The sequence below is a fragment of the Homo sapiens genome, chromosome X, assembly GCF_000001405.40.
Source record: "Homo sapiens chromosome X, GRCh38.p14 Primary Assembly".
Taxonomy (NCBI): Eukaryota; Metazoa; Chordata; class Mammalia; order Primates; family Hominidae; genus Homo; species Homo sapiens.
The window spans coordinates 52,810,979-52,836,024 of NC_000023.11; the positions used below are offsets into that span (position 1 = coordinate 52,810,979).

Below are 25,046 nucleotides of genomic sequence, written 5' to 3' on the forward strand. Positions count from 1 at the left end.
CATCACCATGGCCTTGCTGTTGTGGGGTCCTGGGCAGGGGAGGAAGTAAGGGCATAGAGGGGAGGAGGGTCAGATGAACACGGAATGAGTTGAAGGGTGACATTATTTGCAGTATTTCAGTCTCAGAGGCATAAAAAAACCACACAGAGAGGATGGATTCCAAAGTCCTTAGTGGGGGACCTTGGAAGGAGCAGAGAACAGGGCACGGGGGGACACTGAAGGGGCAGTGCAGCTCTTAAGGCAAGAGGCGACCTCACTGCGCATGCTCCTTGGGTGCCTCCTTAGTGCGCATGTTCATTGGGCACCTTGCCATTGGCCCTTCGCCCACCCGGGAGCTGTGATCCTGCACTTCGGGTCCCTGAGGTCTGGATTCTTTCTCCCCTACTGAGACGCAGCCAGTAGGTCCACAGGCCGATCCAACTGGGAGTTGAAGTGTGAGTGAGAGTGCGGAGGAGCCAGCGGGCTTCCGGAGGGTCGGGGCGCGTGATTGGTGACTCCGAGTGAGAAGGGCCTTGATGTCGTCGTCCTTCTCGTGCGGCCCCGCAGCTATGGGCCTTCTTGTCTTGTAGGGGTCAGGACGAAGGAAGAAGGAGGGCTTCGGAGTGCGACGGGGGTTAGGTGAAGCTGGGGCAATGCTGGGGTGCTGTTGGTGGTATTCCAGTCCCAGAAACGCCTGGAACTCCCAACAGAGGACAAATTCCAGACTCCTCAAGGGACATCAAGGCTGGAATGTCGTGGACGGTAAGGAAGGGGCCTAGAAAGTGGGAACACTCCGGACTGGTGACCGCCACCCCAAGGTTTGTATAACGAACCGCAGAGGTGCCCGCCCGGTGAGGACTGCCCAGTGCTATGTGGCAACTTCTCAACCCCATCTTGGAAGTTCGAATGGGTGGAAGGGGCTATGCATTCCAACAAAACTCGATTTTAGGGGGGAAACGGGCCTAGCAAATGGGTGTGTGACAAAAGCCATGGGCACTTTAATTTTAATTCTCAAGCTGTATTTTCCTAAATGTCTCACGATGGAGAGTCCAATTGCGAAACCAAACCTCATTGGAAATACCGTGTGTCTCTTGCCATAAGCCCTAAGGATTGCTCAGCTAGCTTGACGAACATAAGTGGCTGTACAAGTATTCGATTCAGAAGGCATACACACTTATACATGCCCTCTGACTTACTTTTCAATGTCTTACCAAATTTTTAAAAATTGCAAGTTAGCATTTGGCCATGGAAGTGCTCAAGTGTGGTATACACTCAGGTGCATTTTTCCAATCACAATATTCTGGTTTTTGCTTTGGTTTGGTTTGGCTTTTTTGAGACAGAGTTTTGCTCTTGTTGCCCAGGCTGGAGTGCAATGGTGCAATCTCGGCTGGCTGCAACATTCGCCCCCCGGTTCAAGTGGTTCTCCTGCCTCAACTTCCCGAGTAGCTGGGATTACAGGTGCTCGCTACCACACCCAGCTACGTTTTTGTATTTTTAGTAGAGACGGGGTTTCACCATTTTGGCCAAGCTGGCCTCGAGCTTCTGACCTCAGGTGATCCATCCCCCTCAGCCTCCCAAAGTGCACACTATTCTGTTTGCAGACTGAAATATGAGTTGGCGAGGAAGAAGATATAGACCAAGACGATGTTTACGACTTGCTCAGCTGGTTGGGCCTATGCTTGTGAGTGACTTCACATTCGATTTTTTTCTACTAGCAGAAATTTTTTTGTGTGGTAGTTATTGTTGAACTAGTATAGATACACTGATAAAGGTCTCCCATGTTGATAAAAAATGATCATGGCATCTCATGAAGGAAAGAGTAACCCAAGAAGACTACATACTGTTTTTGCCTGGATGTGTGAACTTGTGTTCCTCGATTTCACTGGTGATTTCCTCTTCATGCTTATTCATAGCACATTACACCCATTCAACCCAACATAAATTAAAATGGCTTCCAACGCCATTGAGGGTAACGGTCTCAGAGTAACCTCTCTATGGGAACAGTAACTTAATGAAGAATAAGTATGTGGAATCGTTTTGGGATAGTGTAGGAGCATGTCTTTAAACATGCATATGATCAGAAGTATCTGTGTAATCTGTATATTCATATTATTGACATGCATTGATAAGAAAAATTTTTTATCTCCACACACACACACCACCACCCCCGCCCTTGTCCCAGGAGCCCAGTGTGCCAGAGCCTCAACAAGAAGAACCACCAACTGAAAGTCAGGATCATACACCTGGTCAGAAGAGAGAAGATGATCAGGGTGCAGCTGAGATTCAAGGTGCTGGGAAGGGAAAGAAGGAATGTCTATGGGGGGAGGAGGCCTGTGTGTGCATCACGCCTTATGCCATGACCAGTAACAGGAGGAAAGAAAGCAATAGGAAAGGATCTCAAACATTTGCTGAGAGTTTTGCAAGAGGCTGGAAATGTGATGGGTATAGTTTGCAGCTTCCTGCAGTCCCTGGATATGATGAATCTTCTCTTTTTCTTTGAGATGCATTTTGTATGCTTGAAAATATAGTCCTTCCTAAATCAGATGAAACCGTTTAATTGGTTGTATAAAATGTACATTATTTCACCAGTTTAACTTGATATTCTTAGGATGTTGCAGTGAGATCCTCTCAGCCATGGTGTTCACAGTGTTGTAAGCACCCTTTGATAGCATGTGGAGTGCCAAGTCACCCTACCATATAACATCCCAAATAAAGCCCATTTGCAAAGGGATGTTAACCTCATTTTATAAATAAGAAAACTGAGGCCGGGCGTGGTGCCTCACCCCTGTAATCCCTGCACTTTGGGAGGCCGAGGTGGGCGGATCACTTGAGGTCAGGAATTCGAGACCACTGTGGCCAATGTGGTGAAATCCTGTCTCTACTAAAAATATACGAATTAGTTGGGCATGGTGGCACTCACCTGTAATCTCAGCTACTAAGTAGGCTGAGGCAGGAGAATTTCTTGAGCCCGTGCGGCGGAGGCTGCAGTGAGCCAAGATCGCGCCACTGCACTCCAGCCTTGGTGACACAGCGAGACTCCATCTCAAAAAATGAAAATAAATAAATAAGAAAACTGAGGCTCAGAGATAGAGGCTTACCAAGAAAACTTGACTCATGGAGAAGGAATTCATATTTTGTTCCAAGGTGTGCATTCTTCCTGCCATCTATTTTAGAAAATGTGAATGATTTTGCTTAAAAATGCTTAATACTCAAATGTGTCTGTACTATAAGGTACTTCGATATTGGCTCAGGACAAAACGCAGTTCAGTGAAACAGGATAGCAACTCCAGAAAAGAGGTCAATGAATGACAGCCACTGTTTCCTTTGATGTACATTTTTGACAGCATGTTTCGTAAAAGGTGGATAATTCAGGATGTTGGCGTGCAGGTAACTGTGTTAATAGGATATGGAAGGGGCTTTTAAAAGTTGTTTCAATATTTTTATAATTAGAAAACTCCAAGTAGAATAAGATTATCGTGAAACAGAAATTGTTTTCACAACGGATAGCATTTTCAAACTAATCAGAGACAGAATTTGGGCCATGGATTATTTTAGCAATTCACTGTTAAGGGGTTTCCAGAATATGACTGTCAACAATGCTCATTAATTTCTTTGCACTTCAGTTCCCATACTCTCACTGGAAGACAGTGATTTTGCTGTTATATTTCGTACTTTTTTTCTTAATGACATTCATGTATGGAAAGTCACATATAGGGCCTTTCAACCTAAGAATTACTTTAATAAAGTTTAACCCCAACATTTTCAAGATACCTCAACAGGGGATGAGTGTCAGGACCATAAGATTTGTCATAAGCTCACCAATACATTGATCTAATCCTTCAGAAAATTACATTTAAGTTATGATTAAAATGCTATCCGTGAGGCCGTCTTCAGTTTTCCTAGGTAGCTGTGTGTTTATAATACACATTAGTAAAGTATGGGAAATGTAGGTGTGCTGAGACTTATCCTCAGATTGTCATTTAAGATAAGATATCATAATACAGGAAAACAAACATTTATTACCACAGTAGCCTCTAGGCTTTTATTGCACAACACTGAGGAAAAGAATAGGATCATCTCCTTATTTATCATTCTGGTTTGGCTGCTCCAGTCCATATCCTTGGTATTTTTCAGTGCCTAACCTGGAAGCTGATCTCCAGGAGCTGTCTCAGTCAAAGACTGGGGATGAATGCGGAGATAGTCCTGATGTCCAGGGGAAGATTCTGCCAAAATCAGAGCAATTTAAAATGCCAGAAGGAGGTATGTTATCCATTAAGATTAAAAATTATGTGCTTTCTGTATTACACAATATTATACTTTTGATAATAAAAGGAGAGAATATTACTGCCCCTTTAGAAATAGAGTTCAAATGCAGACTTTCTTTGGAAGGTAATTCAGACCCCAGAAGCCTGACTGCAAAGCTGAAACACTATCAGATACAGACACAAATTGGGTGAAAGCCATATTGAACCATCAAATAGGAAAGCATTTTCTTACTTCTGATTATAACCAACAGCTAACAATTTTCAGATTATTTTGTAATTTCTGCTTTTCACAAATATATAATACACTCGTAATACCTCTTTGTGTGAAATATGCTGATCCCTGAAGAAGATTCTAGTACCAGCTCTAACATAATTTGTGAGATTCTGGACAAATCACATAAATCCAACACCCATTTTTGCTTTTATTGAAAGTAGTGAATGCACATCAGATAGATTAAAATCCATTTCATTGCTGATTTCTACATGCTCTGGTTCTGTTGGAGAGAATACAAAGATATTCGGATTTTCATGATTTGTTTATCATAACGATCAGCTTCAGTCCAATTGTAATATCTGAGTTGAGATTTCATTGCTCCTAAGAAAACGAGCAGGCACTCTGCTTGATGTTTGTTTTTCCATAAGGAGACCTTCATGAGTGTTCTTGGATTTTGTCAAATCCTGAATTCTCTCAGGCTCTTAAACAACTATTGTTTTATTTATTTTTGTTTGTTTTTGTTTTGTTTTTTTCGGACGAGGTCTCGCTCTGCCGCCCAGGATGGGGTCCAATCTTGGTTCACTGTGACCTCCGCCTCCCGGGTTCAAGCGATTCTCATGCCTTAGCCTCACATGTATTTGGGATTACAGGTGCGTGCCACCACGCCCAACTAACTTTTGTATTTTTAATAGAGACGGGGTTTCACCATGTTGGCCAGTCTGGGCTCGAACTCCTGACCTCAAGTGATCCACCTGCCTTGACCTCCCAAAATGCTGGGATTACAGGTGTGAACCACCTCCCTCACCGGACCCAATGATTGCATTTGCAGGAACCTACTGGACATTCAGACCATACATTCAGACCATTCCCGCAGTGAAGCCTTGAATGACTGAATAATAAAATGGAAAGAGACAGTCAAGTTTTTGTGGCCCATGAAGTAGGGAACATGCATGTAGGTCAGTGATGCTCAAAATGGTTGGAAGATGCCTGCGCTAAGCATGCTCCCTACCCTTCTGTCAATCGTCATGAGCTACTGTGTGTAATTAGATTGAAGACACATATGGTAACCTCTAAACATATCAGAGGTTATATATTACAGGTTTCTGCCTTGAGTCATCAGATGATATGATTTAAAGGTCAAAGACTATAACGTACTAAGTCCTGAGTAGTCCACAGAAGTATCTTTTACACATGTTTTCCAAATTCCTGACTTAATTAGAACTTCTGAATTTAAAGGATGCACTGCATTTTTAGGGGAGAAATTATCTAAATGTTTTACTCCACACTTCTGAACCACTCCATTAGACTAATTACATCAATAGATAGTTTGTAGACGATTTCCAGGAGCCTACTGAACAAGCCTCAGTTGTATTCTTAGGACAGTCATAGCGTTAAATGCATATCTTATTAAAATAGATAACAAATTACATGATACAAGAAAATAATACTAAGACATAAAAAATAATAAAAGAGTCACAGAATAAACTTAAGGGAAAAGGAAGCAGGCAGTAAATGAAAGGTATGAATCATTAACAAAAGGAAAACTAATCCAAAAGTAATACATTTAATAGATCGTTCTTTTGAGAAATAGGTAGGAAGACAGCATCCAGTAGATTAAACAATCTTGAAAAAAATGGAAAAAGCACAACATGGAATATGAACAAGACCCAGATATTGAATGTAAGGCATAATTGAAAGTGAATACATTCTTAAACACTAATATTTTCAGAGTATGGATGAAATGGTTGACATGCTAGGGATGCCTACATTATTTAATATGTCCCTGCAATACCTGAATATCTGAACGCCACAAAGACTGTGCATGAACTTGTGAAATTTGCTAGTCGTCCCTCAAAAACAGTTACTTTTAGAAGCAAATATTTAGCTTTTCCAGATGTCTTACTCTCCGTTTTCATTTCCCTCTCCATCCATTTCTTCTTTTTTTTCCACACTGGTTATGATATATAACTCTTTCACATTTTAATATCAATCATGATCTTGATACCTTAAAACTTATATGACCATTTAATTAATTGTACAAACGGGAATAGTTTCCAGTGAAAAAAGTGTCATTATTCATATTGACATGAGGACTATAGGTGAAAACTGGATGCAAATGGTTAGTGTATGTTAAAAAAGAACAAAGAAGGGTAAACTAGCTCAAAGCAATATCACAGCACTTCTTCACGATAGAGAAAAAACAAATGCAATACTGGTCTTTCTATTCATTCCACTTATGTATTTCCTAATGTGACATTAACTGTTTTCTCAAAAGATGGTTTTCAGACTATTTGTAGGAACCTATTGGACATTCAGACCATACTCTCAAGCCAAAACTTTAAATTATGCATTTTTTCTGGAGGAATTTTTTTTTCAGAAATTCCTTCTGTTTCTTAGGTTTTTTGTGTTCTCGTTGTATTTTGAGTAAACTCTACACAATGTTTGCCATCTACTTTAAGCCCCTTTTGATAGATGCACTTGATTTAATGTGATCTGACCTCAGACTGTCTTTTGGTTTCCTTCTAGCACTAAAAGCAGGGTGTGTTTTAAAAATGTTGCTAATGTATATGTTTGGAAGTGTATCCTCAAAGTCTCTACAGAGGTCTAGTTGAATATTAGCCGTAGGGAGACTCTTCAGATTCTGGTTTTAGTCCACTGTATAAAACTAAACCTTTGGTGTCCTTTGCATACCTTTAATTTCATCTGAATACAGTTCTGCTAGTAATGTTCCCTCCTGTTATGTTTCTATTGCAGGGGAAGGGAAACCACAGCTTTAAACGAAGACAACCAAAAGAATGCAAACTGGATTTATCCGAGATATTTGACTTTTAAAAATCTCAATAAAGTTTTCCAGTTTTCTCCAAAGAAGTATCACACATCTTTTGTTCATTTATTCTCGCATATTAGACCCTATTGGAAATTTTGGCCAGGTGCAGTGGCTCATGCCTGTAATCCAAGCACATTGGGATGCTGAGGCAGGAGGATTGCTTGAGCTTGGGAGATTGAGACATGCTTGGGCAACATGGCAAAACCCGCTCTCTACAAAAATAAATGAATGAATGCATGAATATATGCATATATGTATGTAGGTGTAGTCCCAGCTACTCTGGAGGCTGAGGTGGGAGTATCCCTTGAGCCTAGGAGGTCAAGGATGCAGGTAGTCATGTTCATGCCACTGCAACTCCAGCCTGGGTGAATGAGACTCTGTCTGTATAAAAAATCGTATCATTTTTGCAACTTTGTATTCTGATTGAGCTGGTATACACGTGTGATATTGTGAAATATATATATTTGGTCCTGGACCCTGCTTACTGTCATACAACTCCTACAGGTTTTAGAATCGCCTCATAGTGACGTCTTTTTGTATGCTAGTGAGTTGACCATTGACTGGCAGCTCCTAGGTAGCTCTAGGATAGGGGATTAGAGGGTTGGCACTTTCAGCCACATCCCCAACCTTCAGGACAGGGAGAGGGGCTGAAGGTTAAGTTGATTGCCAATGGCGGGCCAACAGTTTAGTCAGTCATGCCTATATAATGAAAACCTCCATCAAAACCCAAAAGGACAGGGTTCATAGAGCTTCTGCCTAGCAGAACACATGGAGGGTAGCATGCCCGTAGAGGCCATGGAAGCCCCCTGCCTCTTCCTTCTATTCCTTCCCCTATGTATCTCTTTATCTGCATCCTTTGTTAGGATATCCTACTTTCCACAAAATATGTGAGAATTCCCCAGGCTGTAGAGCTGGATGAAAGAACTACAGCCTAGGCAGAAGAAAGGGGAAAGCAACTAGGGCAACTTGCTGAAGCAAAATTACTTGGATCCTACCTACACTGTCTCCTTACAGGCGATGGCATGACATAGCCATGGGTGTAAGAGCCATCCTGCCTCTCAAACACTGGCCTTGAGATGGTGGGCAGGATACTTACATCCTGTGGGACTGTTTCCCCATTTTAAAGTTGAAATTAGAATATTTAGACTAAATACTTGCTATGAAGAATAAATGAAATAACATACAATGCAGGCATTACATTGCAGATAAATTTACTAGTTATCTTTCCTTAATCCCTTTAAAATTTCAAATGTTTTCATTCCATTTTTCTTTACAACTACACCTCTAGTATGTGATAACTGCTTTGGAATTGCAAGTAGGAATATCAGTCTACCTTTTTAAATGCATTTGACTTCAGAAACTGATTTGATGTAAATATGTAAATTAAATAGCAGTGTAGCTGGCATCAGACATGGCATTGATTCTGAAGTTGATTTGTAAATAACCGAGGTGTGACAAGGCCAACCCTATGTCAGTACTATGTGCTGAAAACTTGTTTGGTGTGTGTGAAGCCATGAAGAATAAGTCTATTCCGGTCAGTCAACACCACAGAACTCAATATCATCGTGTGTCAAGAGCTCAGGCAGTCCCTAAGCAGCCCTGTGGTGGCTAATGGGGCCACAAGGATCACCAGTGCAGTTGTAATTTTGTCTTGTCATATATTCATAGATTTGGTGGGTAAAAGACAATGAGCCCAAATGGATCAAAGTGGTTGATTACTTGCAGACTCAGCAAAAGCAAGATTAACATCGTGTCAGCACTGTGTCCCTAGTCCTACAGTACCACACTGAATCGGAGTTACTCAGTGACAGCACAGATGGTGGGTCTCTCTGCCTGTGAGGAGCCCACAGTCATAGCATAAGGCCAATTTTGAAACCACACTGAATCCTGAACCCCAGATCACACCTGACCAAGTTGCAACTATGGGACAGCAGGGGTGACCCAGCTCCCGAACATCTCACACAGAACACCTTAGGGATGTCATCCATGCTTGTGAGGAGGAGGAACCTGTGTCAATGACTACCCTGAACTGGCTGCCTGCTGACAGCTCCCGTAAACCAAAGATGCAAATCAGTTGTTTGGACTGGACAAGGAACCCTAGAGGGAAAGGTCCCTTAATGGGAGGCCACATTGGGGGCCTTGGCCAGCTCCTACCTGACGAATGTATGTCCTGCTGCGGGTGCCCTAACAAGGGTAAAGTCTTGTTGTCCAGGGGTATCACCTGTGCCCTCTGGGATTGTTCTTACCTATATGCCCTGACTATCCCATCACTGCCTCATCCCTGGAAGGCATTCACATCAGCTTCAGCTTCCTGTCCATAGTTGCGCTGAGCCTGAAATGCTGGCTTGGGCTGGATAAAAATGGTTAATACAGAATCTTAGTTAGGAAGTCACCTGCCTTTGTCAGATGGACCTTCAGCATTAATAGGATTCGTATAAGATGGATGTGATGGGAAATTTGATGTGTCAACTTTGCTACGCCACGATGCCTGAGAAATGTTCACTTTGACCACAGTAGATGTATCCATGAAGTGTTTTCTTTACATGAAAACTAGCATTTAAATCAGCAGACTTTGGGTAAACCTAATTGCCCTACCCAATGTGGGTGGGCCTCCTCCAGTTCCTTGAAGGCCTTCAGAGAAGAAGACAGGGGTCCTCCACAAGATGAAGAAATTCTGCCTCCACACTGCCCTCGATTTGAGCTCTCATATCACCTCTTCCCCGAGTCTCCAGCCTGACATCCTGCTCTGTGAGATTTGGACTTGCCAGTCACAACACTTCCATGGGCTAGGTCTTCAAACTCAGTCTCTCTCTCTCTCTCTCTCTCCACCCACCCACCCACACGTGCACACACACACACACACACACACACACGCGCGTGCACGCGCAATGAGGAACCCTAACCAATAGGCTGCATATGTCTGGGACCCTTAAAGGGCATAACTGAGATCAGTACTGCAGGTTGGTCTCACTCTGCTGCATGGCTCCTAAAGCAGAGGCCTGTGGCATTCCCCTCCCGCCCTCTGCAGACTGACATCCACGTGACTTAGGGTTTGGTCATCCAACCATGTAGAGATCACTACAATTCCACAAGTGTTCCCTGCCCTCCTTCTGCATGTGAGGTCCTCTGAGATATTTTTAAGTCAAATGTCTAATACAAAACCAGTTTGCGTTCTTTCAGCTTGTATTCATTTAAACCTGTAGTTGCCTTTCACCTATGATAGAACAACATTACTAGCAGAACTGTATTTAGGTGACATTAAAGGTATGCAAAGGACGCCAACGTTTTAGTTTCATACAATAGACCAAAACCAGAAGCCTATGAGTCACCCATTGGCTTACATGCAGTTAGACCTCTGTAGAGATTTTGAAGATAGATTTCCAAGCATATACATTATCAATACTTTTTAAACACACCCTGGTTTCTAGTGCTACAAGGAAACCAAAAGACAGTTAGAGGTCAGAACACTTTAAATCAGGTGAACCTATTAAAAAGTGGTTCAAAGTAGAAAGCAAACATTGTGTATACTTTTGCTAAAAATATAACCAACACACAAAAAAAGTTAAGAAACAAAAGGAATTTACAAAAAAATGTTTAATGCTTTAGCTTGAAACTACGTTCTGGATGTCCAATAGGCTCCTGGAAATAGTCTGAAAACTATCTTTTAAGAAAACAGTTTATTGCATTTGTTTTTTCTCTATTGTGCAGAAGTGCAAAAGTGTTTCTTTGGGCTAGTTTACCCTTCTGTGGTTTTTAAGGTACAGTAATCATTTTCCCCAATTTTCACTTAAAGTGCTAATGTCAATATGAATACTGCCTTTTTACACTTGAAAGTATTCCCGTTTGTATAATTAATTATATGGTCACATTAGTTTTAAGCTATCACTATCATTCCTGATGTCAAAACGTGAAACCGTTATATATCATGAACAGTGTGGCCAAAAAAAAAAGGAAATAGAGGGATAGGAAAATGGAAAGGACAGTAAGACATCTGGAGAAGCCAACCATTTGTTTCTAAAAGTAAGAGTTTTTGAGGGACAACTAGCAAATTTCAGTTCTTCCAGTCTTCGTGATGTTTAGGTATTCACATATTATAGGGATATATTAAATAATGTATATGTGCCTAGCATATCAACCATTTCATCCATACACTGAAAATATTAGAGTTCAAGAATGTATTCACTTTCAGTTATAACCTAAATTCAATATCTGTGTCTTGTTCATGTTCCGTGTTGACCTTTTTCCATTTTCTCCGAGTGTGTAAACTACTGGATACTCTATTCATAACTATTTCCCCCAAAAAAATCTTTTGAATTTGTTACTTTTGGATTCGTTTTCCTTTTACTAGTGATTCGTATCTGTCTTTTATTCATTTCCTCTTTCCTTTCCCCTTAGGTTTATTCTATTGCTCTTTTTTTTTTATTTTTTATTCTTCTCCTTTATCATGTAATGTGTTATCTATTTTAATAAGATGTGCATTTAGGACTATAATCTTCCTAAGCATACAGTTGAGGCTTCTTCAATAGGCTCCTGGAAATAGACTGAAAACTGTCTTTCTTTTTTTTTTTTTTTTTGAGACGGAGTCTCGCTCTGTAGCCCAGGCTGGAGTGAGTGCAGTGGCGCGATCTCGGCTCACTGCAAGCTCCGCCTCCCGGGTTCACGCCATTCTCCTGCCTCAGCCTCCCGAGTAGCTGGGACTACAGGCGCCCGCCACCACACCTTGCTAATTTTTTGTGTTTTGTTTAGTAGAGACGGGGTTTCACTGTGTTAGGCAGGATGGTCTCAATCTCTTGACCTCGTGATCTGCCCGCCTCGGCCTCCCAAAGAAAACTGTCTTTGTATGTAAATGGTCTAATGGAATGGTTCAGCAGTGTAGAGTCCAAACTTTTAGGTAATTTCTTCCCTAAATATGGAGTGCTCCCTTGAAATTCAGAAGCTCTTCTATTAACAGTCAGCAATTTGGAAAATATGTGTAAAAGATACTTATGTCGACTACTCACGAATTAGGACGTTATAGTCTTTGAACTGTAAGTCGTATCATCCGATGTCTCAAGGCAGAAACCTGTAATATGTAACCTCTGATATGGTTAGAGGTGATTCTATCATATGTGTCTTCAATCTAATCACACACAGTAGCTCATGAAGACTGACAGAAGGGCAGGGAGCATGCTTAGCACAGGCATCTTACACCCACTTTGAGCGTCACTGACCTACATGCATGCTCCCTACTACATCGGCCACAGAAACCTGACTGTCTCTTGCCATTTTATTATTCAGTCATTCAAGGGTTCACTGCGGGAAGGATTTAAAATACAATTATTCCTTAAGAACCAGAGAATTCAAAATTTAACAAAATCCAAGAACAGTCATTTAGGTCTCCATACAGGAAAACAAACATCAAGCAGGGTGCCCACTCTTTTTCTTAGGAACCATGAAATCTCAAATCAGATATTATAACTGGAGTGAAACTGTTATGAGAAACAAATAATATCTTTGTATTCTATCCAACAGAACATGAAAATACAGAAATCAATCTTGAAACAGATTTTAATATATCTGATTTGCATTTACTATTTTCAATAGAAAAAGATGGATGTAGAATTTTTGGAATTCATCCAAAATCTCACAAATTATGTTAGATCTTGTACTAGAACCTCCTTCAGTACTCAGCATATTTCACACAAAGTGGTATTACAAATGCATTATGTATTTGTTTAAAGCAGAAATTAGAAAATCTGAAAATTGTTGGCTATTGGCTATAGTCACAAGTAAGAAAATGCTTTCATATTTGATGATTCAGTATGGCTTTGACCCAATTTGTTTCTGTATCTGATAGTGTTTAAGTCTTCCAGTCAGGCATTTGGGGTCTGAACAACTTTTCAAAGAAAGCCTGCATTTGAATTGTGTTTTTAAAGGGGCAGTAATGTTCTCTCTTTTTATTATCAAAAGTATAATATTGTGAAAAACAGAAAGCACATAATTTTGCATCTTAATGGGTAGCATACCTCCTTCTGGCATTTTAAATTGCTCTGATTTTGGCAGAATTGTCCCCTGAACATCAGGACCATCTCCGCATTCATCCCCAGTCTTTGACTGAGACAGCTCTGGAGATCAGCTTCCAGGTCAGGCACTGAAAAATACAGAGGTTCTTGATTGAAGCAGGCAAACAAGAAAGACAAATAAGGAAATGATAATACTATTTTCCTCAGTGTTATGAAATAAAAGCCTGTAGACTACTGTGGTAATAAATGTGATGTAAAGATGTCACATTTTTGTTTTCCTATATTATGGAATCTTATCTTAAATGATAATCTGAGGATAAATCACACCACACCTACATTTCCCATACTTTACCATTGTGAATTATGAACAGTGAATATCGACTAAGAAATCTGAAGTCTGCCACATGGATAGAATTTTAATCCTAAATGAAATGCAGTTTTCTGAAGGATTAGATCAACGTATTGGCCTGCCTATGAGACATCTTACAATTGTGACACCCATCCCTTGTTGAGGTAACTTGAAAATTATTTAGATAAATTAACATTATGCTTAGGTCTAAGGGCCCCATATGTAACTTTACATAAATGAATCACATTTAGAATAATGTACCAAAAATAACAGGAAAATCACTATCTTCCAGTAAGGGTACAGGAGGTTGAGTGCAAATAAATTAGTGGTCATTGTTGACAGTCATATTCTGGAAACCTCTTAACAGTGAATTGCTAAAATAATCCATGGCCCAAATTCTGCCAGTGTTTAACGCAAAAATGCTATCTACTGAGTAAACAACTTCTGATTCAGGATAAACTTATGGTACTTTGAGTTTTCTAATTATGAAAGTGCTTCTACAACTTTTAAAAGCCCCTTCGAAATCATACTAATATAGCTACCTGTATGCCAGTGTCCTGAATTACCCACCTTTTGCCAAACATCCTGAAAAAATACAGAAGGATACCAATCAAAGAGTGGCTGTCATTTATTGAGCTCTTTTCTGGAGTTGCTATTCTGCTTCACTGAACTGTGTTTCGTCCTGAGCCAATACTGAAGTACTTTACAGTACACACACATTCGAATAGTAAGTATCTTAAGCAAAACCACTGACCTTTTCTTATTACAACATGGATAACACAAACCTTGGGACAAAATATGAATTCTGTCTCCATGAGTACAAAGGTTCTTGGTAAACCTCCATTTCAGAGCCTCAGTTTGCTTATTTATAAAATGGGGCTACCATCCTTACGCAAATGGGCTTTATTCAGGGTGTTATAAGGTAGGATGACTTGGCACTCCACATGCTGTTAAAGGGTGCTTACAGCACTGTTGACACAATGGCTTAGAAGATTATACAACAACATTCTAAGAAGAACAAATTAAACTAATGGCACACTGCATATTTATGCATAAAATTAAACTGCTTCATCTGATTTAGCAAGGACTGTATTTTCAAGTACACAAAATATATTTCTTTTTTTTTATGTTTCCAAAATTTATTAATTAAATTTAGGTTTATTTTAGTAATAAAGTGTAAATAGCAAATGGCATTCCTTTTCATTATTGGGTTAGTAGATACTACGTTCAGTATCTTTTTCTTACACACATCTAATGAAAGATGTGAAAACAAAAACTTTCACAGTGAAGAGTATACTCATGCACCATTAATTCATCATGTCCCATAGCTTAAAAAATTCCCAAGAAGTGTATCCATCTCTTTTTTACTGGCGCTACAATTTCTTCACTTTTGCCATCCTCATGGAACTGTCAGCCAGCACACTGGAAGGATTCTCTGAAAACAAAGGCATCATCAAGTTCTCTGGGTTTTGGTAGAGATTGAAGGCCAACAGACCTCAGACTCATTTAGAAATATTTAGTTGAGGAATAACCCTTCATAAGCAGTCGCTTGACAGGCGACATTTTATTTTTTTTTTTAATTTATTTTTTTATTGATAATTCTTGGGTGTTTCTCACAGAGGGGGATTTGGCAGGGTCATGGGACAATAGTGGAGGGAAGGTCAGCAGATAAACAAGTGAACAAAGGTCTCTGGTTTTCCTAGGCAGAGGACCCTGCGGCCTTCCGCAGTGTTTGTGTCCCTGATTACTTGAGATTAGGGATTGGTGATGACTCTTAACGAGCATGCTGCCTTCAAGCATCTGTTTAACAAAGCACATCTTGCACCGCCCTTAATCCATTTAACCCTGAGTGGACACAGCACATGTTTCAGAGAGCACAGGGTTGGGGGTAAGGTCACAGATCAACAGGATCCCAAGGCAGAAGAATTTTTCTTAGTGCAGAACAAAATGAAAAGTCTCCCATGTCTACTTCTTTCTACACAGACACGGCAACCATCCGATTTCTCAATCTTTTCCCCACCTTTCCCGCCTTTCTATTCCACAAAACCACCATTGTCATCATGGCCCGTTCTCAATGAGCTGTTGGGTACACCTCCCAGACGGGGTGGTGGCCGGGCAGAGGGGCTCCTCACTTCCCAGTAGGGGAGGCCGGGCAGAGGCGCCCCTCACCTCCCGGACGGGGCGGCTGGCCGGGCGGGGGGCTGACCCCCCCACCTCCCTCCCGGACGGGGCGGCTGGCCAGGCGGGGGGGCTGACCCCCCCACCTCCCTCCCGGACGGGGCGGCTGGCCGGGCGGGGGGCTGACCCCCCCACCTCCCTCCCGGACGGGGCGGCTGGCCGGGCGGGGGGTGGACCCCCCCCCACCTCCCTCCCGGACGGGGTGGCTGCCGGGCGGAGACGCTCCTCACTTCCCAGATGGGGTGGCTGCCGGGCGGAGAGGCTCCTCACTTCTCAGACGGGGCAGCTGCCAGGCAGAGGGTCTCCTCACTTCTCAGATGGGGCGGCCAGGCAGAGACGCTCCTCACCTCCCAGATGGGGCGGCGGGGCAGAGGCGCTCCCCACATCTCAGACGATGGGCGGCCGGGCAGAGACGCTCCTCACTTCCTAGATGTGATGGCGGCTGGGAAGAGGCGCTCCTCACTTCCTAGATGGGATGGCGGCCGGGCAGAGACGCTCCTCACTTTCCAGACTGGGCAGCCAGGCAGAGGGGCTCCTCACATCCCAGACGATGGGCGGCCAGGCAGAGACGCTCCTCACTTCCCAGACGGGGTGGCGGCCGGGCAGAGGCTGCAATCTCGGCACTTTGGGAGGCCAAGGCAGGCGGCTGGGAGGTGTAGGTTGTAGCAAGCCGAGATCACGCCACTGCACTCCAGCCTGGGCACCATTGAGCACTGAGTGAACGAGACTCCGTCTGCAATCCCAGCACCTCGGGAGGCCGAGGCTGGCGGATCACTCGCGGTTAGAGGCTGGAGACCAGCCCGGCCAACACAGCGAAACGCCGTCTCCACCAAAACCAGTCAGGCGTGGCGGCGCGTGCCTGCAATCGCAGGCACTCGGCAGGCTGAGGCAGGAGAATCAGGCAGGGAGGTTGCAGTGAGCCGAGATGGCAGCAGTACAGTCCAGCTTCGGCTCCGCATGAGAGGGAGACCGTGGAAAGAGAGGGAGACCGTGGGGAGAGGGAGAGGGAGATGGAGAGGGAGAGGGAGAGGGAGGCACAAAATATATTTCAAAGTTAGGAGAAGATTCCTTATATCCAGGGACTGCATGAAGCTGTAAACTGTACTCTTCACTTTTCCAGCCAACTTTCAGCAAATGTTTGCGATCCTTTCCTAATGTTTTCTTTCCTCCTGTTACCGGTCATGGCATAATGCATGATGCACACATAGGCCTCCTCCCCCCATAGACGTTCTTTCTTTCCCTTCCCACCACCTTGAATATCAGCTGCACCCTGATCTTCCCTCTTCTGACCAGGTGTAGGATCCCGACTTTCAGTTGGTGGTTCCTCTCGAGGCTCCTCATCACTGGGCTCCTGGGACTGTGGTTGTGTGTGTATAAATAAAAAGTTTTGGCCGGGCGCAGTGGTTCATGCCCAGCACTTTGGGAAGCCAAGGCAAGCAGATCACGAGGTCAAGAGTTCGAGACCAGCCTAGCAAACACAGTGAAACCTTGTCTCTACTAAGAATACAAAAATTACCCGGGCGTGGTGGCGCATGCCTGTAATCCCAGCTACTTGGGAGGCTGAGGCAGGAGAATCGCTTGAACACGGGAAGCGGAGGTTGCAGTGAGCCGAGATCACACCACTGCACTCCAGCCTGGGTGACAGAGCAAGACTCTATCTCGGGAAAAAAAAAAAAAGTTTTGTTATAAATACATGTCAATAATGCAAATATACAGAATACATAGATATTTCTGATCATAAGTCTAAAGACATTTCTCCAACACTATTCCACATACTTATTATTCATAAAGTTATTCTTCCCACAGAGAGGTTACTCTAAGACAGTTACACTCAAGGGCTTTGGAAGGCAGTTTAATCTATGTTGGGATGGATGTGTGCAATCTGTTATGAATAAGCATACGGAGGAAGTCATGGGCAAAATCTGGGGAATCCATCCAGGCAAAATCAGAATGTAGGCTGGGCACAGTGGCTCAGGCCTGTAATCCCAGCACTTTGGGAGGCTGAGGCAGGCGGATTGCCTGAGCTCAGGGGTTCAAGACCAGCCTGGGCAACATGATGAAACTCCGTCTCTATTAAAATACAAAAAGAAATTAGCTGGGCGAGGCGGCGTGCACCTGTAGTCCCAGCTACTCGGGAGGCTGAGGCAGCAGAATTGCTTGAGCCCAGGAGACGGAGGTTGCAGTGAGCCGAGCCTGGGTGACAGAGCAAGACTCCGTCTCCAAAAAAAACACACACAACGTAATCCTCTTGGACCAGTCTTTCCTTCATGAGATGCCATGATCATTTTTTATCAGCTCGGAAGACCTTTAACAGTGTATGCATACTAGTTCAATGACACTATCACAAAAAAAAATAATTTCTGCTAATAGAAAACAACGAATGTTAAAGCACTCACGCATACTCCCAATCAGCTCAGGAGGTTGTAAACTTCGTCTTGGTCTAGGCCTACATGTTGATCTTCCTCGCCAAATTATATTTCACTCTGCAAAGAGAATACAGAACACTGTGATTGGGAAATGGCACTTGAGAGGATAGCTATATTTGAGCACTTCCATGGCCAAATGTTAACGTGTCACTTTTTTAAAGTTTGGAAATACTTTGAAGGTAAGTCCCAGGGCAAGTATAAGTTTGTGTGTCTTCTGAATAGAATGCTTGCACAATCACTTAAGGTGGTCAAGCTATCAATGTCTTAAGGCTCCTGGCAAGAGATACTGGATATCTCTGATGTGGTTTGGTTTCACAGCTGGAATTTCCATCATGGAGACATGTAGGAAAATAGAACTAGAGAATTAAACTGGGAGTGACCACAGTGTTTGTCACATACCCATTTCCTGGTCCCAGTTCCTCCCTAAAATCAAGTTTTGCTCGACCACAAAGCCCCGTCCATTCAAACCTCATGGAGTTGAGAAGTTGCAACACAGCACTGGGTGCTCCTCACTGGACACCTGTGCCTGGCATTCTACAGACCTCGGGGCTGAAGTCACCAACCCGCAGCCTTCCCAGTTCCCAGGCCCCTTCCTTGCCACCCACGCCGTCCCTGCCTGGGTCCCCCCTGGGGAGTCTACAATCTGTCCTCTTTTGGGGGCTTGAGGCATTTCTGGGACTCAGATACCTCCAACAGCTCCCCCAGTATGCACCCCATCATAACCCAGTCCCCCCCATGCCGAGGCCCTCCTTCCTCCCCAGTTGTGGCCCCGACAAAAAAGAAGGCCCATGGCTGCAGTGCCACATATAAAGAATGAAGACCTCGAGGCCCTTCTCCCTCTGAGTCTCCCTCCCACCGGTGACCCTCCAGAAGCCCACTGGCTCCTCCTCACCCTCACTCACACTTCAACTCCCAGTTGGATTGGCCTGTGGACCTACCTGCTGCATCTCAGTAGGAGAGAAAGAATCTAGACCTTAGGAACTTGGCCTCACAGCTCCAAGGCATTCACCACGAGGGCGAAGGGGTAGAGTAGAAGACGCCCAGTGAACATGTGCACTGAGGTGGGCGCCCAAATAGCATGCGCAGTGAGATGTGCGCTAGCCTTAAGGGCTGTGGTGTCCCTCCTTCTCCCCCCTCCCCCTGCTCTTTCCTCCATCCCTTCCTAGGACCCCACTAAGGACTTTGGAATCCATCCTCCCTGTGTGTTTTTTTATGCCTCTGAGACTCAAATACCCCAATATCACCATTCAAAACTCACTCCGTGTTCACCTGACCCTCCTCCCCTCTATGGCCCTTGTTCCTCCCTTTTCCAGGCCCCTCAAGGGAGCAAGTGCATGGTGGTGTCGCTGACTTCTAGTAGGAGGATGAGGCTCTCTGTCAGGCCACGGACCAAGTGGCCCAACCCATGGGAAGTCTGCCCACTTTCCCTCACACTCACTCACACTTCAACTTCTGGGAGGACTGATCTGTGGACCCACCTGATGTGTCATAGTCAGCAAGAAAGAAGTCACAACATTTCCTCCCACAGCTCTGCAGGGACAGAAGGCAGACAGCAAGACCCACAGGCAGCAGGAACTTGCATAGGAAGGAACATGCACATTGAGCCAGGGACTTTCAGGGACAGCCAGAGTTTCCTCACTGTCACCATGATAGCAGCAGCTGCTGCCATCACACTGGCTGCAGCAGGGAGGCCCAGCCAGGGCTGCACGCTCTGTGGAGGCAGCAGGAGCCAGGGACAAGTGGGATCCCCATCTTTTACGAGTTGGGGAGGGAGCTCCTGGGTGCACCTGCAGCTGCCCAAACAGCAGCTGTAGACCCAGACCTCTAGCTCCATGGAGCAGGCATATTGTGGCTACAGATCCAAGCCTCCCTGTCCTCTTGGGGGGACTGTGAGCAGGCAGGATCCCTGCCCTCCTGGGTGCAGCTGCAGCCAAGCGATCTATGGCTGCAGACCCAGGAGCTGGGGACAGGTGGGAGCCCCACCCCTTCAGAGTTGGTGGGTTGGGAGCTCCCCAGGAGCAGCTGCAACTGCCCTCCCAGGTGCAAGACCCAGGCGTGTCTGCAGCCTGCACTCTCTGAAGCCCAGGAAGGCCCCCACTGTCCCTGCAGACTTGGAAGTGTCAGCACCCACTGCCTGATCTCTCCCTGCTCTCAGCACCCACTCTGATTTCAGAGCAGGTTGGGAGCTGAGCCCCTGCACTGTCACAGCTCAGCCAAGTGTGCACATGGCCAGGCCAGCACTGGCATGCCAGCCCCCTGCCACCTCAGACACTCCAGCATTTGATTTTTGAGGAACATGAGAGGGGAAGCCAAGGAGGTGCTGAGGGCAGCTGGGCGGAGGCCTGCAGGTGCCCCTTGGTGTGAGCAGCCTGGGCACCATAGACTGCAGTGGGAGGCAGACCGGCTCCAGAGCAGAAGGGGGCAGTCCCTGGTAAGGACCCACCTTCAGACCAGGGACTGGCCAGGCAGCCAATCCCAGAGACCAGAGTGTGGACTTGTGGTGCCTTTTCTGGGCCGATCCATGGCCACCCATGGACCAATGTACATGCACTTTCTCCCCTCCGAGGTCCGTAAATGCCTGGGACTCAGCCAGAGCAGGGCAAAGGATGGAGAGACAATGGGACGACCAGCTGCAGAGAGGAGCTACCCTCTCCAGTGCCTCCTCCCTGCTAAGAGCTGCAGACATTGGAAAGACCTGCCTGCAAAGAGGAGCCACACTCTTCAGGGCCTCCTCTCTGCTGAGAGCTGAACACTTGAGTGAACAACCTGCCTACAGAGGAACTACCCACTGCGGATCTCCTCTGAGCTGTTCTAACACTCAATAAAGCTCCTCTATGTCTTGTTTTTTTAAAAAGTGAACATACAATTTACTTAACATTCAAACTTCGTTAAGACATGTGCAATATGGCAATTTTACTGGGGATTAAACCCTACCTAGGATGATTGCTTGCCGGAGCTTAGCAACAGGGTCCAGTTCACACTTAGCACTAATTAAATATTTTACTGAATAAATATAATACCAAACAAAATGCATTCAAATGCTTCCTAAAAAAAATTTTAAAGTCCTTTCTACTCAGGCTAATGACAAACACAATAAAGGCAGATATGCTAGTTTAACATAATTGGCTGATTTTATACAGCACTTATATCTTTTAGTCCACAAGTATATTATTAAATCATGGAGAACATCAAATACAACCATTTCTACAGAACTAGGAAATAAATTTCTAAGAAAGAAAGATTTTACAGACCCCATCTTTTATACCCACCCCAACAGTCTAACTCTAAAGAGGATGAAGCCAATGACTTTCCTCACAAGAGCTCAAGACTAATGTAGCTTTGCTATCAAAATCTATATTTCTGATCCATTATGAGCATTGAGACAAGATCCAAATAGTCCCAAAGAAAGAACCACAATGCATATTGTCATTGCCTATTCAGCAACAGCAAACACTGCATCCAAAACTCTCATCCCAGAAATTAAATAAGGTCAGCCACATTCATGGGCATCTCCTTTACTGTAGTATTGTAGAAAGTCTCAATGTCATGAAGAATCCTCTTGTCTTCTTCAGTAACAAAGTTTGTAGCCACACCTTTCCTCCCAAATAGACCCCCTCTGCCAATTCTGTGAATATAGTTTCACGATTGGTAGGTAGATCATAATTTATAACCAAAGACAGTTGTTGCACATCAATCCCACGAGCCAACAAGTCACTAGTGATCAGAACACGGCTTGACCCTGATCAGAATTCCCTCATGATAACATCTCTCTCCTTCTGGTCCATGTCACCATGCAGAGCAGAAACTGAAGTCTCTGGCATGCATTTTCTCAGTCAGCCAGTCCACTTTGGGCCTTGAGAAAAATAACAGCCTGCGTAATGGTCGGTGTCTCATACAAGTCACAAAGTGTATCCAACTTCCATTCTTCTCTCTCAACATTAATATAAAACTGTTTGATTCCTTCAAGGGTCAATTATTCCTTTTTCACCAGAATTCAAATTGGATCTCTCATGAATTTTTTGGTCACTTCCAACACATCAGTTGGCATTGTGGCAGAAAGCAACACAACCTGAATACTTGTATTTAGTTTTTGGAAAATCTCATAGATTTCATCCTTAAACCCATGGCTCAACATTTCATCTGCTTCATCCAAAACAAGCATTTTGATCCATTTTGGAAAAAGATATCTTCTGTTTAACATATCAAACACTCTCCCAAGTGTACCAACAACAATATGTGGTGCTTCAGCCTGCAGTTTTTGCATTTCAGTTTGAACATTTGTTCCACCAATGCAGGCATGACAAGTTGCTCCCATATAGTCTCCAAGTGCCAGAATTACCTTTTGGATCTGTGGAGCCAGTTCTCTGGTGGGGGCCAGCATTAGTGCTTGGGTCTCCAACTGTTGCAGGATGGAAATAGCAAATGTGGCTGTCTTGCCAGTACCTGACTGAGCTTGAGCAATCACATCATACCCTTTCATACAGGTAATAATAGCTCTCTGCTGAATAGCAGAAGACTTCTCAAAATCGTAAGCATAGATGCCCCAAAGAAGAGACTCCTTTAAATTCATATCATCAAAGTTATCAACGATCTCATTACAGTTGCTCTCAATGGCACCATCAGGGTCCATTCCCTCTGGGCTGCCACGTTCTCTGTTATAATCCATGGAGCCACCAGACATGATCCAAAAAACCACTCAGTGCCCGACTGAAAAGTCCTCTTTGTCTTGTTTACCCTCCACTTGTCTGTGTACCTTATACTTCCTGGATGCAGGACAAGAACTTGAACAAAGGTGCCACCAGCCACAGAGGTTTCCAGCCAGAAAATCGACACCCCAAAGATCCCATAACACCTGTATCCGCATCCACAGGGCATTTTTTAGTAAAAAGAAAGGGACTTAAGAGAGCTTTTGTTTCTTTGCCCAAACAATCTCCTGCATCAAGAAACACTGGAAACACACAGTCCCATGTCACCCTTAGTGGAGGATGTATTTCTTTTGTGACAGAAATAAGGAATTTTATGTCTGTATTTATACGTGCTTTTTCCTAAGGATGTTGTTCTGTTGCCAAGGCTGGAGGGCAGTGGCACAACTCCTGGGCTCAAACAATCCTCATCCTGCAGCCTCCCAAGTGGGTGGTACTACAGGTGTGGACACAACACCTGAGCAATTGATTCATTTATTTTTTAGAGAGTGGTCTCACTATGTTGTTCATGCTGGTCTCAAATTCTTGGGCTCAAGTGATCTTCCCACCTTGGCCAATTTTTATACATGCTTTGATTAATCACTTTTTTCTGTGATTCTGGGTTTTATGCCATGCTTCCAGTGAATGTAACAATAAAAGATCTTACAGGGCAATAATCCTACTGCACTTCTAGTCAGACTAACAATTATTACACTTCAGCTTTTACGTCACCATTATGCTTAAATGACATATTGACCAAGACATAGAATGAAAGATTCTGAGATTTTGACATTATTAACAAATCAACTTGAGAAATACACAATTGTGGACTACCAGGAAAATTATTGCCTTGAAACTCATGTAGGATAGGCGAGCCCCAAAGTTGGAGCTTATTCCAGGGGGGTTCTTGGCTTTGCCTCGGAGAGAATTTAAGCATGAGCTGGTGGTGTTAGACAGCAATACTTTTATAGAACAGTACGGCTCCTTTCTGAACAGGGCTAACCTACAGGCAGTGCGCCAGGAGGCAGCAACCTATGGGCTCTTGACAACTGTATTTATACTCATTTATACCCACTTTCAGTTCCATGTAAATGAAGGGGTAGGTTAATGCAAATTGAAGGGCGAGTTATTTAGAACTGTCTAGTAATGCAGGGGGGCAGGGGAGGGTGAACTTCTGGTTCATTGCCATGGCGGTTGTAAACTGTCATGGTGCTGGTGACAGTGTCATGTGCTAGTGAACAATGAAGTCAGCTAGAGATTCCTCAATCATCCACGGTCATCTCTGTCTGCGGGTTCATGAGGGTTTCTTCACTCTATCCTGTGAGGACCGTGAATTAAGTCCTGTCAGGACCTGGAACTAAGTGCTGTGTGTCTTCTACTTAAAAACTACAAGAGAATGCAGGGTTTTCTTTCTTATTAAAATCAGGTGTCCCTTTAATCATTCCAAGCATATTTTTTATTGCATGCAGCCATTCAAAGTTTGCTTTTTCACAAATATTTGGCCTAAATTTTCTATTCAGCTTCAGTTTCAGCTTAGGATATTTAGGAAGACAAAGTAGCCAAATTCTATGCCAACAAGATTTCTGGCATCCCTATACTACTTTGTGATCCTGATAATTCTTATGTGACCATCATATCTAACCAATAATACATCATCAGTACTATAAACAAACCATAACATTTAGAGTTATGGTTATCATGTTATCCCAATTACTTTCAGATGAGTAATTGGGAAATAGATTGAGAGTTCAATTAAAAAAAGAGCATACATAAGTTAGAAAATATCCTGAAGAATGTTATATTCTTCTTGATTAGACCCATGTTTATATAAATGTATACATTATAACATAAATATGTCTTTATATTGATACAAATTCTTGGTAAACATAGTGAAAAACATTCATTTGTATCATGTTTTTAATTTTGCTTGTTGAAAAATCACAAAACACATTGGTAACTTGATGGGGATGGCATGGAATCTATAAATTACCTTGGGCAGTATGGCCATTTTCACGATATTGATTCTTCCTACCCATGAGCATGGAATGTTCTTCCATTTGTTTGTATCCTCTTTTATTTCATTGAGCAGTGGTTTGTAGTTCTCCTTGAAGAGGTTCTTCATGT

At 43.6% G+C, this 25,046-nt stretch overlaps 1 protein-coding gene and 2 pseudogenes across 2 annotated transcripts, besides 1 other annotated feature; 1 reads left to right on the forward strand and 2 right to left on the reverse strand.

Moving 5' to 3' along the window:
* The first annotated feature begins 308 nt into the window (after positions 1 to 308).
* Positions 309 to 7,323, forward strand: XAGE5 (X antigen family member 5). 2 transcript variants are annotated; one of them, NM_001386970.1, is made up of 6 exons: positions 309 to 434; positions 570 to 741; positions 1,581 to 1,660; positions 2,162 to 2,267; positions 4,114 to 4,239; positions 7,213 to 7,323. In NM_001386970.1, exons 3-6 carry the CDS (start codon positions 1,589 to 1,591, stop codon positions 7,233 to 7,235), a joined length of 327 nt encoding a protein of 108 aa, NP_001373899.1. In that variant the 5' UTR covers positions 309 to 434; positions 570 to 741; positions 1,581 to 1,588; the 3' UTR covers positions 7,236 to 7,323. The 2 variants fall into 2 exon arrangements, with proteins under 2 accessions (NP_001373899.1, NP_570131.1); NM_130775.3 differs by lacking the exons at positions 309 to 434; positions 570 to 741 and adding an exon at positions 1,226 to 1,282.
* A 3,309-nt stretch (positions 7,324 to 10,632) lies between these two features.
* LOC107985641 (X antigen family member 3-like) lies at positions 10,633 to 18,283 on the reverse strand (annotated as a pseudogene).
* Positions 15,190 to 16,156: an enhancer, noted in NCBI's record as "NANOG-H3K27ac hESC enhancer chrX:52855217-52856182 (GRCh37/hg19 assembly coordinates)". NCBI's record gives its function as "activates a minimal SCP1, AML or CMV promoter by ChIP-STARR-seq in primed H9 embryonic stem cells {active_cell/tissue: H9 hESC(primed)}" and the evidence as "EXISTENCE:reporter gene assay evidence [ECO:0000049][PMID:30033119]".
* Positions 18,284 to 21,664: 3,381 nt separating the features above from the next.
* Positions 21,665 to 22,955, reverse strand: EIF4A2P4 (eukaryotic translation initiation factor 4A2 pseudogene 4; annotated as a pseudogene).

Bases quoted from the DNA above. Each gene is read 5' to 3' on its own strand.
- XAGE5 (NM_001386970.1), top strand. From the start codon at position 1,589: ATGAGTTGGCGAGGAAGAAGATATAGACCAAGACGATGTTTACGACTT. The intron at 2,268-4,113 runs GTGCTGGGAAGG...GGTATTTTTCAG, and splicing joins GGGTGCAGCTGAGATTCAAG to TGCCTAACCTGGAAGCTGAT. The intron at 4,240-7,212 runs GTATGTTATCCA...TTTCTATTGCAG, and splicing joins ATTTAAAATGCCAGAAGGAG to GGGAAGGGAAACCACAGCTT.